The sequence below is a fragment of the Homo sapiens genome, chromosome 3 (genome assembly GCF_000001405.40).
Source record: "Homo sapiens chromosome 3, GRCh38.p14 Primary Assembly".
Taxonomy (NCBI): Eukaryota; Metazoa; Chordata; class Mammalia; order Primates; family Hominidae; genus Homo; species Homo sapiens.
The window spans coordinates 49,108,050-49,123,435 of NC_000003.12; the positions used below are offsets into that span (position 1 = coordinate 49,108,050).

Consider the following 15,386-nt stretch of genomic DNA (forward strand, 5'->3'; position numbering starts at 1 on the left):
TCTACTTACTTATTATTTATTTTTAAAATATATTTAAACAGCAGCAGTCACTTCCAAAATGCAAAAAAAATTACAATTTTTAGAATAAAATTATAATGTTTATAATGCGGGTCAGAAGAATTGAAGGTACAACAGAATCAAATCACGCAGCACTGGAGGCGGCTGGAGAAGCCAAAGCCCACTGGTCAGGGGTCCAAGCTGACAAGAAGTCCCAACCTGAGAGGTCTCCACACCCAAATCATACCCCTCAGCTTCCCATTGACAGAGCCAGTGTCCTCTGGGTTAGAGAAGGAGAAGCGGCAAGGAGCTGGCCCTCTGTGTGGGTGTCCCAAACCCAGTCCCCCCCATCAGCCAGGGACCTGCTAATCCACCTCCTCCATGTTGCTGTAGGTGGGGGCTGGCCGATCCACAGGGGGGGCGAAGCGTTCAGGGGCTGTCCGCGTGGGGGCCACCTCGGGGGCCTGGCCAGGGCCTAGTCCCTGCAACAGAATACGAGGACAGGGGTTGGGGGCTGCCCAGCATGCCGCCTGGCATCCCGGGGGTGCTGGCTTGGAGCCCTGGCACCCAAGGGAGGGTCCCAAGGCAGGCGCAGACAGCAGCGGCGTTGAGACAGAGAGACGAGATTGGGCCTGAATAGTCTGGTTTTATTAACACTTTTAAGTACAGGAAGTAGCTTGGGCAGGGCCAAGCCTGAGGCCAAGGGTCAGAGCAGCAGGATGAATGGACAGACAGCCAGATGGATACACACCCTAGGATACTCTGCCCCTGCAGGGGCCACAACCTCCCCACCCTCTCCCACCAGATGCATAAGCTGAGGCCCAAAGCCCAGAGGTGTTCCCCACAACAAAGGCAGGCATGGCCTGGGGCAGGCAGGTAGGCCAGCTCACAGCAGCTGCCTGCAGGCGAGCTCATCTCCAGCGACTCTGGGATACCAGAGGATAGAACACGTTGAGCACGAGGGCCACCAAAGCCGCCACGGTGCCCAGGACAAAGTACCGGAGGCAGCCCTCATCTGGTGTGGTAGGGCCACGTGGTAGGGGGCCCACCCAGTCTTGGGGCCCCCAGGGACCCAGGGGCCCAGACCCCTCAGGCACCGGCTCCTCCTCAGCCTCCAGCTCCTGCCAAATCCGGGAAGCCTAGGGTATGTGGAAACGGCCATCAGCACCCCGGGGGTGGGGAGGACCCAGTGTCCCTGAGACCCTTAGCCATGACAGTCCCACCTGGGGTGACTGGGGCTAACACCCTGCATTCTAGATCAAACAGCAAGGAGGAAGGCAGGCAGCCAACCTCAGGGCTGTCCAGAGTAAGAGCACAAGGGTAAGAGAATCTTGACAGCATTTTGGCCTACCCTAAACAGCTCTCAATCCACATGCAGCTCCGCATGGAGGTGGGAGGGGAGTTATCTGGTTAGTATTTCAGTCCAGGCCTCCCCAAAGGACACCGATTCATAGAGAACAGGACTGCCAATCCCAGAGCAATCTCCTTGCTCCTTCCCACCCATACCCAGATCCTGACCAGTCTTCTGCAAGGATTTCTCTAAGCTTGACAGAGAAGGCTCAAGAGAGGATGGAGCCAGAAAGGAGACGGCCAGTCCAGAAAAGAGATGTGCCTACGCCCACTAACTGGGCCTATGGCACACCATGTCACTAAAGAGAAGATCCTGAAGGCTCAGCAAAGACAGATGCTTACCTCAAAGAGTATAACAGCCACCAGAGGCCATGGCCAGCCCAAATAGGCCTTGTCTTGAGTGCACACTAGAACTCAGGGACATCACAAGTGAGGGTGTGTGGGCCAGCATGTGGGGAATGTGCAGAGGAAATCTAGGAGAGTGTCAGGTATAGTTCATTCACAGCATAGTGCCCAGTGAGGTTCAGAGCAGTTGCCTGACCTGTGCCAAGTAGGTGCCAATGTGCTTGCCAGTGGCAGCATGTTAGTGTACTTGTATGTTTGTTAGTGTCCCCAAGGCATGGGGATGCCTCTGGCTAAAGCTTTGATGTTAAGAGAACTCTGCAATTCTCATGAATCCCAAGGCTCAATGGGCCTGTGGCTGGAGGAGAGGAAGCTATATCCCCCAACCCGGCCCCAGTCTGTGAACTGTCCCCCAGTATTCTGTAAAGCCTCCCACATGCCTCACCTGGCTGGCAGCAGCCTCAGCTGCAGGGCCTAGGTCTGGGTGGTGCTCAGAGTGACCTGCCCTGGGGGGCCTCTCCACAGGAGAGTTCCGCCGGCGGTAGAAGAGTACATAGGCATAACGCGTCACAACCTGGCTCTCGTCTACCGTTGTCACTGTGCTGTCATCAAACAAGCGCCAGCCTACAGCAGGGTGGGAAGAGTGTGAACAAAGTCTGCACCACCACCCCTACCACCTATCCTGCTGGCTGTGTGTGCCCTCACCCACGTCACTGCGCTGACTGCTACGATCATTGGGCAGGCGTGCACAGGCAGTGTAGTGGCCACCAATCATGCCTCCATAGTGGTTGATGACAGCATATAGATCGTAGCTGGGCAGCTGCTCCTCTTTCTGACCAATGCAGAACTTGCTCAGGTCCAGGTTCCTGCAGGTCAGGTCCAGTCAGGGAGGGGTGAGACAGGCAACAGGCGCTCAGGATGCCCATCCTGGTCCTCACACCCCACCCACAGTTACCAAGGTCCACTGCTTACCTAACAGGGAACTCCACCAAGTCATTGATCTTGTCACGCCAGATAAAACTACGAAAGGAGAAGCGCTTGAGCTGCACGATGAGAACATTTGGCAGGCGCCATAGCAACAGCTGCTTGGAGGCCTCACGGTGCTGTTTGCACTGTGGGCAGTACCTGGTGGGGACAGAGATTGGGTCAGGACCAGCAAGTCTCTCTCTTCTCCATCCTGCCCCCTTATCTACTTGCTGCTCTGTTCTCACCAGGCCTCCTCGGGTGCCAGCACCTCAGGCCGTGTGAAGAGGTTGAGGCACTGGTCCAGGGTGAAGTGGCCGGCCCGGGCAGCCTCACCGGCAGAGCCTGGATCCTCAGCACATTCCAGCTCCTTGGAGGCTACCAACACAAACTCCTGCAAGCGCTCATTGTTCCGCCAGACGAGAGCCAGGCTACAGTCGTCACCCAGCTCCAGTGGGGTGTCTCCTGGAGATTCGCAGGGAGAGAGGTCATGCAGCTGTGGAGAACAGCCAGCTCAACCCACCCCATGGCTCCCACCCACAGCCTCAGACACCTTTGTCCTCTAGCCGCTGCTCTCGGTTGGATGAATCAATTTTATAGATGAAGAACTGGGGTGTGTGGGCATTCATAGCTTCACTTGGATGCTGGTACCCAGGCACAGCAGCTGTGTGAGAACATGATAATCAAAGCTTCCCTGCCCATCAGGGCCTCACCAGGCCCACCAGGCCCTAAACAACAGCCCCCTCCATCCTCCCTTATCCTCCTCCCCAGCTTCTAGAGCCTTTCACTGGATCTTACCTTCGGGTCGGGACACCCTCTCGCCAGCTGGCAAGGAGCCAACCTCAATGGGCCCACTGGCCAGCATCTCAGAAGAAATTCCACTGGTGCTGGGCACAGGACCCCGGTCAGGGGCTGCCCACACCCGGGGAAGCCCTGTGTCCCCCTCAGCCATAGGGGTCACCAGCTGGAGCTCAGGTGGCTGAATGGGGTCTCTCTCGCTGTCCCCAGCCTCCAGGGAACCTGTGGAGAGCAGTGTGGTGCAGCCAGGGCTCTGAGACTCCAAGGCCATGCGGCCTGGCTGAAAGGGTGGCTGGAATACACTCACAGAGTACCTGGCAACAGAGAACAACGCAAGTAAGACTCCTGACCAGCCCATCTAGCACCTCTGCCCCCACCTACACCACTCTAGTCCAACCACTGGGCACTTACCGGGCATAGCCCTCTAGCAACTGAGCGAGGCGGGCATAAGTGAGGCGTGAGGCAGGTACACTGACCAGGAAGGGGTAGCCAATGTTCTCAGGTCGGCAGAGGCCCTTGTGGTCAGGCCAGTGGGTTTTCTGGCAGAGCCTGACGGGAAGAGGAAGACAAGGATAGGCCCTTAGCCCCATCTCCTATGACTCCATACTGGGGGCTAGTCATAGTCCCTGGGAACTGGGTACGCCAGCCCTGCCTCCCCCAGAGCCTGGTAAAGTAGGGTGGCAAGTAGAAAGCTTAAGCATATGTGCCTTGGTGTGAAGGGAAGGAGCAGGGTGGCACATGGAAGGTGGAAAGAAAGGGTAGGGGAGACCATGGGGGTCCTCACTGGTTGCAGTAGCCCACACGGTAGCACCGGGTACAGCGCTTCAGCTTTTCATCCTCCGACTGTTGCTTCCGCTGGCAGGCTGCACACTTGGAGATGGGGACGCTGGGCACCTGGGGGCGCTAGGGTGGGTCGTCTGGCTCAGCAAGACCAGGAAGAAGTGCCCCACCCACCAGGGCGCTGTGCCATCAGGTTGGCCCCCACTCACCTGTTGCACCTCTAGCACCACTACCCGCTCCTTAGCCAACTCTGAGGATAGCAGCTCAAAGCAGAGGAGCGTATCAGATGGGGACACAGTGTCCAGTGAGTGGGAGGGTAGGAACACACGATGAAAACGATTCTTAATTACCTGGGGACAGAGAACACACAGATCCCACGTGAGGATAAGCCCTTTCCCTAGCCCTGCCCCAGAGTTTAAGAAGGCTTGGCCCTGCCTTGGGTCTATGTGGGCAGTGGTGAGGTCTGTAGGCCCAAATAGGCTTATGCCTCTGCTGGCACCTGTCTCAGTGCCCAATGCCATAAGGAGCCTGGTGCATCAGAGGGCCTGAAAGACCAGGTGTGAGGCAGATATCAACCACACCAGCTCTCCACACTGAGGGACTCTGCCCTGCTATAACTAGCATAGCCTTATAAGACTGTAACATATTATCATGGAGGGTCCACATTCAAAGAGCCTCCTCCCCACTCTTACCCCTAAGAAAACCAACACTGTCAGGCTAAAGGCTAGGAACCCCTGGGGAGAGCTAGCACACACAACTGGGATAAAAGGAGAGAGCAGCAGGATAGAGGGAGAGGCAGAGCGAACATAGGGATAGTCCTGCAGCTCAAGCTCCTTGTCTAAAAAGGGAAATGCAGTTGGGATCCACCACCACAAAGGGGAATAAACCCTGATAATGGCTAGGAACTGAGGGCACTTCTGTTGCACAGAAAAAATAACAGCACATCGCCTGTTTTTGTACAGTCACAGGCATACTCATGTGTATGTCTATTTTTATTTTATTTTATTTTATTTTTGAGACAGAGTCTCACTCTGTCACCCAGGCTGGAGTGCAGTGGCGCGATCTCGGCTCACTGCAACCTCTGCCTCCCAGGTTCAAGCGATTCTCCTGCCTCAGCCTCCTGAGCAGCTGGGACTACAGACATGTGCCACCACGCCCGGCTAACTTTTCCTGTATTTTTAGTAGAGGTGGGGTTTCACCATGTAAGCCAGGGTGGTCTGGATCTCCTGACCTTGTGATCCATCAGCCTTGGCCTCCCAAAGAGCTGGGATTACAGGCATGAGCCACCACGCCTGGCCCTATTTTTATTTTTTTATCTATTTATTTATTTATTTTTGAGACAGAGTCTCACTCTGTCACCCAGGCTGGAGTGCTGTGGTGCAATCTCTGCTCACTGCAACCTCCACATCCCGGGCTCAAGTGAGCCTCTTGCCTCAGCCTCCCAAGTAGCTGGGACTATAACACGTACCACCATGCCCAGCTAATTTTATTTCTTGTAGAGACAGTGTTTCACCAAGTTGCCCAGGCTGGTCCCAAACTCCTGGGCTCAAGTGATCTGCCCACCTCGGCCTCACAAAGTGCTGGGACTACAGGCATGAGCCACTGTGCCCAGCCCATGTGTATGTCTGTAGATGCCAATGACTGTACACACGTCTGTGGTGAGTACACACACACATCCACACATGTGATAGCCCAAGGAAGGACAAAGATACCTCCGCCAAACGCAGGTTCTCAGGCTTCACATGAACACTCTGAGAGAGGGAGTCCAATACTTCGCTCGCAGTGGAGTTCTCCTTGCTGACGCTCACCAGGAACTGTGGCAAAAAGGGCAGTCAGTGAGGGAGGTGGGCCACGTTCTCTAGAACAGCCCAGAGGGTAGGGGCTTACTCCTCACCTTGATGGGCTTGCTGTGGGGCTCTCGGGCAAAATAAAAGACAGGGAGAACCTTTTGCTTTTGTGGCAAGGGCACCGGCAGATAAAGAAACGGGTCAAAAGTGATGGAGACCTGTGGATGTAGAGGTGGCACTGGGTAGCTGCACACAGAGTGGGAGATAAGATGCTCATGCTCAGAGAGCCCATTCCGGGGCTTCTGATGGCTCTCAGGGCCCCCACAGCCAACCAGCAAACTCTCAGGCTTCAGGACACTAGACAGGGCAGGAGGACCACCAGGAAATAACAATCCTTCTTTCTGGCACTCAAAGCCCTACTCAGCTTAGCCACTTTACGAATTGGCCTCACACTTGCACCCCATGTGCCCACAACCCTGCTACAACACCTTTGAGCTCTAACATCACTTTTCCCTCAGTCAGGAAGCCTACCCTGAGTGGGCTCTTCAGCCCAAATAGAATCCTAAGGCCTCCCTGCCAGCTTCTTTGCCCAAACCTTGCCCTGTAGCACCTTAAGATGCACATGCCTCTGAACCTAATGTGACCAGAATAGCTGAGCTGAACTAGGGGGTCTCTTTCCAGGGGAGCCCATCACACCTTGGCACACACAGGGCACACCAGCTTCGACTTGTACTGCCCCTGAAATAGGTCCACGATGAAAGAGTCATTCCTCATCTTGTGCCGCTGCCATGCTTCCTCAGCTACCACCTGAGAGGCAGAGTGGTGAGAACCAAAGAGTACCAGGGGCTGGGATGCTCATGAGACATGCCCACCCTCTGTCCCTAACCCTGACCTCATCGGGCCGCCCATCTGAATCCACGGTCTCTGTGTAGGGCTTGTTCTGAATGCGATTCAGGTCCTCGTGCAGCCCATCCAGCAGGAAAGCCATGAACTCCTGGGCATCATGCTGTGCATAGCCTGTGAACTGGCTGGCCTTACTCGCCACAATGGCCTGGATACAGGAGCCAAGGTGTGAACATGAAGCCCTAGCACCCACTGCACACCCAGCTGGCTGGCCCTCCCCGCCCCCTCCAGCCAAGGGTGACAGTGGTCACAGATCACCTTCAACTTGGAAGGCTGGAAGGCATGGTGGGTGCCCTTCCACAGCGCCCGAAGCAGCACGGCAAAGCCAATGGCCAGACGCCCACCAGTCCCTAGTGGGTTGTTGTAGTTGATCTCAGCCTCAAAGGAGCGGTCTAGGAATAGTAGCCGAGCAAAGGTGTGAGGAACAAAGGCACTCTCTCTGCCCATAACCCAGGCTCCAGGCCCTGCCCTCACCATGGAAGAAGTCCCGGAGTTCCCGAGTGTTGGACAGAGACTGAATGACGCTGTTCATGAAGCAGGTGTTGCCTAAATTGACAAGGCCAGTGAAGCCTGGCAGACACACCTTCTTCTCTTCCTCTTCCTCCTCCTCCACGCTGTCTCCACTAACTGGGCTGTGGGGCATGGGAGGCACCATGCATGTAGGCTTGGGCTGCAGGAGCAAAGACGACATGAGAGAACAGCCCCAAGACTCTCCAGCCTCCATTCTTCGTCCTTCCCACCCCAGAATTCTCACCGAGGCCAGGTGTGTCTCTGGCTTTGGGGTTACATGCTCCATGGGTGTGCGGGTTGCCACACTGTCTAGCCCTGTGTCCTCAGATCGTGCCTTGGATTTATCCTTCTCCACAGCCCGGGCCTCCTCCTGGCCTGTCAGGGGGTGGGGAGCACCTCCTGGTGGGGTTGAATCCAGAGGGGTTGGACCTGTCGGCACGGCAACCTTTGCACCACCCACTGCACCTTAAAAAGGGGGAATGAGAGGGCTGGTGGTTAGCAGCATGTGACAGGGGTTTGGGTCCTGGTCACGTGGAACTGGGCAATGAAGGGAGCTCGTGTGCAGACCTCGTGCAGCCGGGGCCTCCAGGCCCCCCCAGCGCTGACTCTGCCTCTTACGAAGGCAGATGTCGATGCGAGAAGCCGTGAAACAGAAGGTGCACTGCTCTGGCTCAATCAGATTCCTGTGGGAAAAGGCTGAACTCAGGGACTTAGGAGGAATGAGCATCAGGATAGATGAGCCAGGGAGATGGAGCCCACGGGGTAGGACAGGCACAGTGGTGGGGCCGGGCACCACCCACCTGAGCTTCACCTGCCAACGGAAGGTGGTGTGGGGCCCACAGCCCGGGTGCAGCCTCAGGAAGTTTCCATCCCTGCAGAGGCACAGCAGGATAGGAGGAAGGACAAGAGGAAGAGCATGAGACATACTGTCCCACCTGAGGCATTGTTTGCCCCATCATCTACCCACCCACCTGGTCTGGAAGATGAGCGTGAAGTCCTGCTCACGGAAAAGTACTCTTGAGGTGTCCCTGCAGATCTCCTTCACGTACACGTGCACCACCACTGAATCCGGGCCCTTCTCATACGAGTCATTCTTGACAAACGCCAGGTTCACCATCGACTCGGGCTCTATATTGAGACCATGGCTCAGCCCCAACCAGGACAGGTTCCAGCCTATTGCTACTCTCTATCCACCTACAAACTTTGCAACCCAACCTAGGGCTCTGCCTGCCCACCCCCACCTTTACCATCCACCAAGGTTGCAGCATCTGCTGCCACTGCCATCTCCTCCTTGGCACAGTCATCTTTCCCAGGGTTTCTGCTCCGGACCATGGCTGGAGAGACTGGGTCATTCCCGGGAGGCACTGCTTTCTCTCCTGCCAAAGGGGCTAAATTCTCCTCTGAGCCCAGGAGGCAGGTTTGGGAGTTCAGCGGTGGTATGCAAAGCTGTTCATCAGCCTCAACCTATTAATGGCAAGATTGTGGAAAGAATCAGCCCTGGGTCTGCCAGGTGGCTCCCACTCCAGTGCACACCCTTTCCCCCCATCTCCTAACACCCAAACAGGTGCCCAGCTCTCACCTGGGTGGCTGGGTCAGCCACGAAGGGTGGGGCATCACCCCGGGGTCCAGGGTCATCCCTGGACCCGTCCCCCTCTGGCCCTCTGCAGAGATGCACAGCCCTCTTGGCGCTGGGCCCTGCCTGGGCCCCGGGGCCAGCCCCTGCGCCTACCTCACCACGGCCCTGGGCCCGCTTCTGGTTCCGGGCCTCCTGCTTAGCCCGGTGGGGCTCAGGGCCTGGCTCCAGGGCAATGGGAGACAGTTCCTGCCCATTCTCCTGGCACCGCAGCCCCGGCACCAGCTCCTGGGTCCCTAGAGGTTTCTTCTGCCAAAGATACAGCAGTCAGGCCCTGTCGACTACACTGGTATCCCTACCCAACCCTGTACTACTAGAACTCACCAGGAGGGAGGGCCACGTGAGCATAGGCACCTTTTTGGGCAGTGTCAGGTGCAGGAGACTGCCCTTGCGGGTTTGCACTTTAGCACAAGAGCTTTTTATCTCAGCATAGAAGACACCACCCCACTGCTGACCACCTGGGGACAGAGCAGGGTCCATGAGGTAGGATAGGAGATATCAGAAGATTCAAACATACTACTGTGCTCAGGGCAGATGGACACACCTGCAAACCGCACCACACAGTCTGTATCTGTGAAAGCAGCATCTACATCCTCCAGCTGCAGGGGACCTACTCCCACACGAAGCTTGACAATCACCTCTTCTGCACTCTGCCTCCAATCGAGCAACAACTCTGGAGTGGGAGTAGCCAAGAGATCATGAGGGTCTTCACAAGCTCCTGATGGTGATAAGCAGGTAACAGAGACCCAGCCTAATGAAACTGCTTCAGATGGGAGCCAAATTGCAAGTGCCCCCTCCCCTTCCCTAGCAACAAAAAGCCCATTCGTTACTGACCCTCTTTGGTCTGCTCCTCTTGAGGAGTGGATGCTGACCCTGACGATGAAGGAAAGAACAGCCGGGTACGGTGGCGTGAGCCTGTGATCCCAGCTGCATGGGAGGCTGAGGCAGAAGGATCACCTGAGGCCAGAGGTTCAAGACCAGCCTGGGCAACATATCGAGACCCTGTCTCTAAAAAAAAAATAAGAAAAATTAGTCAAGCATGGTGAGGAGGCTGAGGTAGGAGGACTGCTTGAGCCCAGGACTTTGAGGATGCAGTAAGCTACGATCACACCTGCACTGCACTCCAATCTGTGCAAGAGTGAGACCCTGCCTTTAAAAAAAAAAAAAAAAAAGGGACAGGCACGGTGGTTCACGCCTGCAATCCCAGCACTTTGAGAGGCCGAGGTGGGTGGATCACCTGAGGTCAGGAGTTTGTGACCAGTCTGGCCAACATGGTGAAACCCCGTCTCTACTAAAAATACAAAAATTAGCTGAGTGTGGTGGTGCATACCTGTAATCCCAGCTACTTGGGAGGCTGAGGCTACTTGGGAGGCTGAGGCAGCAGAATCACTTGAACCCGGGAGGCAGAGCCCGCAGTGAGCCAAGACGCCACTACACTCTAGCCTGGATGACAGAGTGAGACATTGTCTCAAAAAAAAAAAAAAAATTAGCCTTGCGTGGTGGCATGCACCTGTAATCCCAGCTACTTGGGAGGCTGAGGCAGGACAATCACCTGAACCAGGAGGTGGACGTTGCAGTGAGCCAATATTGCACCACTGCACTCCAGCCTGGGCTACAGAATGAGACTCCATCTCAAAAAAAAAAGGAAAAAAAGAACAGGTTCAAAAAAAAGAAAAAAGTTTAAAAAGGAAAGAAGGCAAGCCCCCCAACAGCACCATCTTCTGGATCTTAGCCAAGTACTCAGGCTTCAAAGCTGAGGCTCTACTGAGGTTATCATGGGTCCTTCTTCTCTCATCATCAAACCAGGACAGAGAGAAGAACAAGAAAGTCATCTCCCAAACCCCAATCTGTATACCAATAAGATGGGAGGCAGAGAAGGCCACAATTACTCTGGGAATGCCACTCCCACCTTTCCTAGGATCTCCATCCTTGCTCTCCTGGTTTGCTCGATCCTTCTGCTTCTTCTTACTAGTGGTGTCCTCCAGTCCTGGGGGCCCTCTCCTTGGGCCTGTGGCACTGGCCCCGCCAGACATCTTGAGCCGCTTGGTCGACAGCCAGAGTGCCCCGGGGTCGGCAACAGCGTCTGGGTCAGGGCTGCGGCGCTTTCTTCCTGGCCCAGCTATCTTGGCAACTCTTTGTGGCCAAATTCTCCAGCAAGGAACGGACAGCCTAATGGAAAGAAGCCAGTGATCACTGCCAAGACCCAACAACTTGCTCTTTAGCTACACCCAGGGCTCAGCAACACAGGACACTAATGCTACAGAGCTGTATCTTCTCATCTCTTAAGTACCCCTGGACACTCTCAGGATATTCTGAAGAGGTAATAAATAATGCAAGTAGCAGCAACCACTTCTGGCCAAGCCTCATAGATACCCACCATAACAGTCCCACACAGGTGAAAGCCTCACTGAGGGGGCACCAGGTCAAGGAAGTCATGGCCTGGGACCAGGCTACTCCACCAATCTGGAGAGGAGCCACGGCTCCAGCCCACAGGGCTGGCACTCCGAGCAGGGTGCTCACTTTTCCTTCACTCTCACTGGCTGCTTAGTCACCACTGGAGAAATAGAAGGTGGAGGAGGAAGGCAGGACAGGAGACAAGCCGCAGGAGAACCAGGCTCTGTGGCTGTAAACAGGCTCAACCCAGGTTCTACCATTGCCCAGAAAAAGTCCTGGGGCTAAGGCACTCCACCTGCCTCCTGCCAGCTCCCACCCTTGGCAAGAACCTGCTCCTATGTACTGCTTGGTCCTTCTTCATTTCAAGAGAAAGTCCTCTCCCCAGCTGCTGTCCCAAGCAGAAAGGGACTGAAAAGTGTATCTAGATGTCACGCTACCTCTTCAGCAGCAACCCTGCTCCAGTACTAAGGCAGGATGGGCATCCAGTTTGAGACTGGAACAGAAATTATCACCTTCCTTCCCAGATGCCTTCACTCATGAGCTCTGAGCCACAAGGACCACTACAGTTTCCCACAGACCCACCAGTGGATTCTGGACTGTTTCCTCCTCCAAAATGAAGGTCTTGAAACTAGATACTGAGATGAGGCTGGGGAGGACCACAGATCCAGGACTCCTGGCAGCCTCAAGCCTGGCCTGAACCAGTAGCAGGACAGATAATGACTAGTCTGTGTTCCCCTAAGTGTGTAAAGGAGGAAGGAGGGATGGCAGGATACCCTTCTACAGGTCAGATGTGGTACTGGTGGGCTGGATCTTTAATGACACCTGCCACCGGCGCCTCCTTCTTGCACCCAGGCCCCAGCCGAAGGTCGCGTCCCTCCCCCATGCCCCAGGGACGTCGAGGCGGGTAAGGGGCTGTTTAGAGACCCGAGCCGGCCTGAAATGGCAGCGCGGGGTTACTGACCACAGATCAGCGCCCCGGTCGAGCTGCGACCCAGCTTCAGCCTCTGAACCCCGAGCCCGCCACCACCTCTCCCACGAAGTTGCCCTCGCTGGCCGCCAGTCCTCTCCCAGGTGGGAGGCTGGCCACAGGCATAGCGTAACGGCCCTGCCGGCATCAGTGGGCTGGCACGCTGCGGGGCACTAGGGGTAGGGACTGGCACGGCCCGTGACCTTGAACAGGCCGCCGCGGCCGCGCGTTGCGGCCTCCCCGCTGCGGCCAAGCCAGCGAGTTGCAGCCTGCTCCACTCACCGAGCGAGACCGCCGCAGCCAGCCCTCTTCGGGCCCTGGCAACCCGCTCTCCGTTCCGGTTCCGGCGCAGGTCGGTTCCGGTTCCGGCGCGCCCCTCCCCCGTCCCGGCGCCGCCGCCACCGCCTTAGCGGCTTGTTTTGTTTCGACTTCTAGCTAAGGCCGAGGGAGGCGGAGCGCCAAGCTGGTGACGCACTTCCGGCGGGAATGGGCTCGGAGCGACCCGCAGCTCCGGGGCGGGCCCGAGCGGAAGGAGGCGGTGCTCGGGTGGCTTAGCGGTGCATGGGTTCTGCTGGGGGCAACCTCGAGGTTCCCCTGGAGACTCCCCCGCCCGCCCCAAATCAGAGTCCAGACAACACAGTGGGGGTTCACACTGGTTTATTGGGGGCCCTGCCGGGCCAAGAGCTCTTCAGTGCATAGGCAGACATGCATGTGGGGCAGTGCTAGGAACTGGGGTAGGCCTTGGGCAGGGGTCACTGGCAGGTGTTGTAGATCTGCACCTGCAAGTTGATGGCTTGAAGCACGCTGCGCATCCTGGCCTCCAACCCGTCCAACTGGGCTGCCTTACTCTCCAGTGCCCGCTCATTTTCCTCATAGGTGCCTTCCAATTCTAGGAAGGGCAGGTGTCAGTTTAGGGGGGGTTTCCCGCAGTCTTGTGTCTCTGGTGCCCCATTTCTTACCCTGTAGCCGCTGCAGCTTGTCCTGAGCGGCTTGCAACAGGTCCCGAGCCTCATCCCGCAGTTGTTCTGCCCTTGCCTGTGCAGCCAGCACACCTTGGGCCTTGCGCTCAGCTAGGGCCTTCACCGTCTGGTACTGATCACCCAGAGGACCGCGTAGCAGCTGCAGATGTAGAGGGTTAGGTTAGCGTGGTAGCTCAGTGGAGGCCCATCTTCCACCCCTACCTTCTCCAGCTGGCTCTGCCTCAACCCACCTGCTCAGCCTCCTGGGCACGACCCTGGGCACTGCCTGCCGTTTCTTCTGCTGTAGAGGCTGCCAGACTATTTCCTGCCCGTTTCAATTTCAGAGCCTCCAGGAGAGCATCCAACTGCCGAGCCCTTTCACCTGCAGAGCTCAGTGCCCGCTCTGCACCTGCCATCCTCTCCTGTACCTGCCATGGGTGAGCCAAAGGTTACACAGATCTACGGTTCATGCCCATAACCTTGTCCCACTGATGTCCTAGGAAGACCTCACCTGGTACAGGGTCTGCTCTGTGTCCCGTGTGTCAGCCACTGCCCCCCGGATGGCACCCTGGGCAATACCCTGTGCCCGCTGGGCCTCCTCCAGTGCTGCCTGTACTGTCTCTGCCTTCTGTTTCTCATCCTCAGCCCAGCTCCTGGGGAGAAGGGGGAATCAGAACCTGGAGGTATCAAAACCAGGTGTCAGGGATAGGGGCCAGGGATGGGGTCAGACCTTGCCCGCCGTGCATCCTGCAGTAGCTGCTCGGCACGACGCACATCTCCTACAGTACGTGCCAGGATCGCATCCACATCTGCCAGGCTCCGGACTCGCTCTGCAATCGCACCCGCCAGGTGCTGGATCTGCTCAGCTGAAGCTGGGATGGAGAGCTCTAGCACCCGTGTGGCCACCATTTCAATGCTATCAGGATCAGCCCCCTCCTCTATAGGGACACAGCAAGAACTTAAGAACATAGATTCTCCAGCATGGGCATGAGGATACAGTTTTGGGGTATGGACTCAGGACATGTACATGGGATAGGGGTTTGTTACCAGGCATAAGGATATAATCACAAGGACAGGGACTATACAAGGGGCTCAGACTCAAGAACATGGACCTGGGACCACATATGGGCAATAACTCAGGAGCCAGTCAAGGGATCATAAACACTAATCCAGTGTAGTCCCTGAGGCTCAAGTATGAACCAAGGGAGATACAGACACCGGGAGTTGCCAAAGGGGACAACCACATGGCCTGGGACACGTGGGAGGCTCACGGTTGAGGAAGTCCTTCACACTCTGGATAAGTTCTTGAAGTTCCTGGTTGGCCTGTTCCACCTGTCCCCTGGAAGCATTAGCCTTGTCCAGGGCTGCCTGGGCCCGCTGCTGTGCCTCGCTTGCCTGCCGACGAGTCTCAGCCACTCTGCTGAGGATGCTACCACCTTCTGCCAGTGCCCGCTGCAGCTCTGCCTGTGTGTGCCGGGCCCGGCCCAGTGCTAGGTCTGCTGTAGCCGCTGCCCCATTGCAGCTGAGGCCCCCACAGCGCGGCTGCCCATCCTCATCTCGACAGCCGGCACCCCCACAAGGGCTTGTAGCACAGGGTGCATCCCCTGGTGCCCCACACACCTGCCAGGCACAGAACAAGTCAGGGCCCTGTGAGAGGAACATCTACACCCACCTGCCCCACCCAACACTTCAACCTCACCAGCTCATTTATGTCTGTCAGGCTCAGGGTGTGGGTATGGGCAGAGAGCTTGCCAAGTGCCCGCTGGTTGGCCATGTGTTTGCTGTTGAAGTCCTCCTTCTGAGCATCCATCAGTGCCTCTGTCCGATGCCGAGCACTTGCCGAGTTGCTCACAGGGCTAGGTACTGCCAGGGCTGAGGTATTGGCACGACGTTCTGCCTCTGCAGACTGGCTATGGGCATGCCGGATGCTGTCATAGGCACCTAAATTGGGCAGAGGCAGACAGTCAGCTGAAGACTGACCCTGGTCCACCTGCCTAGTTGGC

At 56.6% G+C, this 15,386-nt stretch overlaps 2 protein-coding genes across 61 annotated transcripts in view, besides 3 other annotated features; both read right to left on the minus strand.

Annotated features, from left to right (window-relative positions):
- On the minus strand, positions 1-12,774 carry USP19 (ubiquitin specific peptidase 19). 59 transcript variants are annotated; one of them, NM_001400299.1, is made up of 27 exons: positions 12,707-12,774; positions 10,973-11,232; positions 9,898-10,071; positions 9,608-9,736; positions 9,418-9,521; positions 9,010-9,312; positions 8,678-8,894; positions 8,402-8,558; positions 8,231-8,302; positions 7,998-8,113; positions 7,675-7,895; positions 7,395-7,590; positions 7,179-7,312; positions 6,910-7,068; positions 6,714-6,824; positions 6,125-6,235; positions 5,943-6,044; positions 4,440-4,580; positions 4,235-4,353; positions 3,862-3,999; positions 3,451-3,764; positions 3,206-3,316; positions 2,901-3,117; positions 2,662-2,814; positions 2,395-2,555; positions 2,135-2,313; positions 1-479 (listed from the first exon to the last, which is right to left on the minus strand). In NM_001400299.1, the coding sequence occupies exons 2-27, from the start codon at positions 11,094-11,096 to the stop codon at positions 363-365; spliced, it is 4,080 nt and encodes a 1,359-aa protein (NP_001387228.1). In that variant the 5' UTR covers positions 11,097-11,232; positions 12,707-12,774; the 3' UTR covers positions 1-362. The 59 variants fall into 59 exon arrangements, with proteins under 59 accessions (NP_001387228.1, NP_001387227.1, NP_001376528.1 ...); NM_001400298.1 differs by having other exon boundaries at positions 7,675-7,889; positions 9,010-9,309; positions 9,388-9,521; NM_001389599.1 differs by having other exon boundaries at positions 9,010-9,309; positions 9,388-9,521.
- Positions 12,073-13,062: an enhancer, noted in NCBI's record as "H3K27ac-H3K4me1 hESC enhancer chr3:49157555-49158544 (GRCh37/hg19 assembly coordinates)". NCBI's record gives its function as "activates a minimal SCP1, AML or CMV promoter by ChIP-STARR-seq in primed H9 embryonic stem cells {active_cell/tissue: H9 hESC(primed)}" and the evidence as "EXISTENCE:reporter gene assay evidence [ECO:0000049][PMID:30033119]".
- Positions 12,635-12,954: a silencer, noted in NCBI's record as "silent region_14354". NCBI's record gives its function as "represses an Ori minimal core promoter by ATAC-STARR-seq in GM12878 lymphoblastoid cells {active_cell/tissue: GM12878}" and the evidence as "EXISTENCE:reporter gene assay evidence [ECO:0000049][PMID:35858748]".
- Positions 13,063-14,051: an enhancer, noted in NCBI's record as "H3K27ac-H3K4me1 hESC enhancer chr3:49158545-49159533 (GRCh37/hg19 assembly coordinates)". NCBI's record gives its function as "activates a minimal SCP1, AML or CMV promoter by ChIP-STARR-seq in naive and primed H9 embryonic stem cells {active_cell/tissue: H9 hESC(naive and primed)}" and the evidence as "EXISTENCE:reporter gene assay evidence [ECO:0000049][PMID:30033119]".
- The window catches only part of LAMB2 (laminin subunit beta 2), an 11,937-nt gene continuing 9,615 nt past the window's right edge, over positions 13,065-15,386 (minus strand). For both annotated transcript variants that reach the window (XM_005265127.5, NM_002292.4), the window contains 7 exons: positions 15,083-15,324; positions 14,655-15,003; positions 14,114-14,321; positions 13,895-14,036; positions 13,635-13,811; positions 13,384-13,543; positions 13,065-13,313 (listed from right to left, as the gene is read on the minus strand). In XM_005265127.5, coding sequence (XP_005265184.1) covers positions 13,177-13,313; positions 13,384-13,543; positions 13,635-13,811; positions 13,895-14,036; positions 14,114-14,321; positions 14,655-15,003; positions 15,083-15,324 — 1,415 coding nt within the window. In that variant the 3' untranslated portion in view covers positions 13,065-13,176. The remainder of the gene's footprint in view (positions 13,314-13,383; positions 13,544-13,634; positions 13,812-13,894; positions 14,037-14,113; positions 14,322-14,654; positions 15,004-15,082; positions 15,325-15,386) is intronic.

Bases quoted from the DNA above. Each gene is read 5' to 3' on its own strand.
- USP19 (XM_005264823.4), bottom strand. From the start codon at position 11,096: ATGTCTGGCGGGGCCAGTGCCACAGGCCCAAGGAGAGGGCCCCCAGGA. The intron at 4,354-4,439 runs GTGAGTGGGGGC...GACCCACCCTAG, and splicing joins TGGTGCTAGAGGTGCAACAG to CGCCCCCAGGTGCCCAGCGT. The intron at 4,000-4,234 runs GTGAGGACCCCC...TCTTCCCGTCAG, and splicing joins CGTGTGGGCTACTGCAACCA to GCTCTGCCAGAAAACCCACT.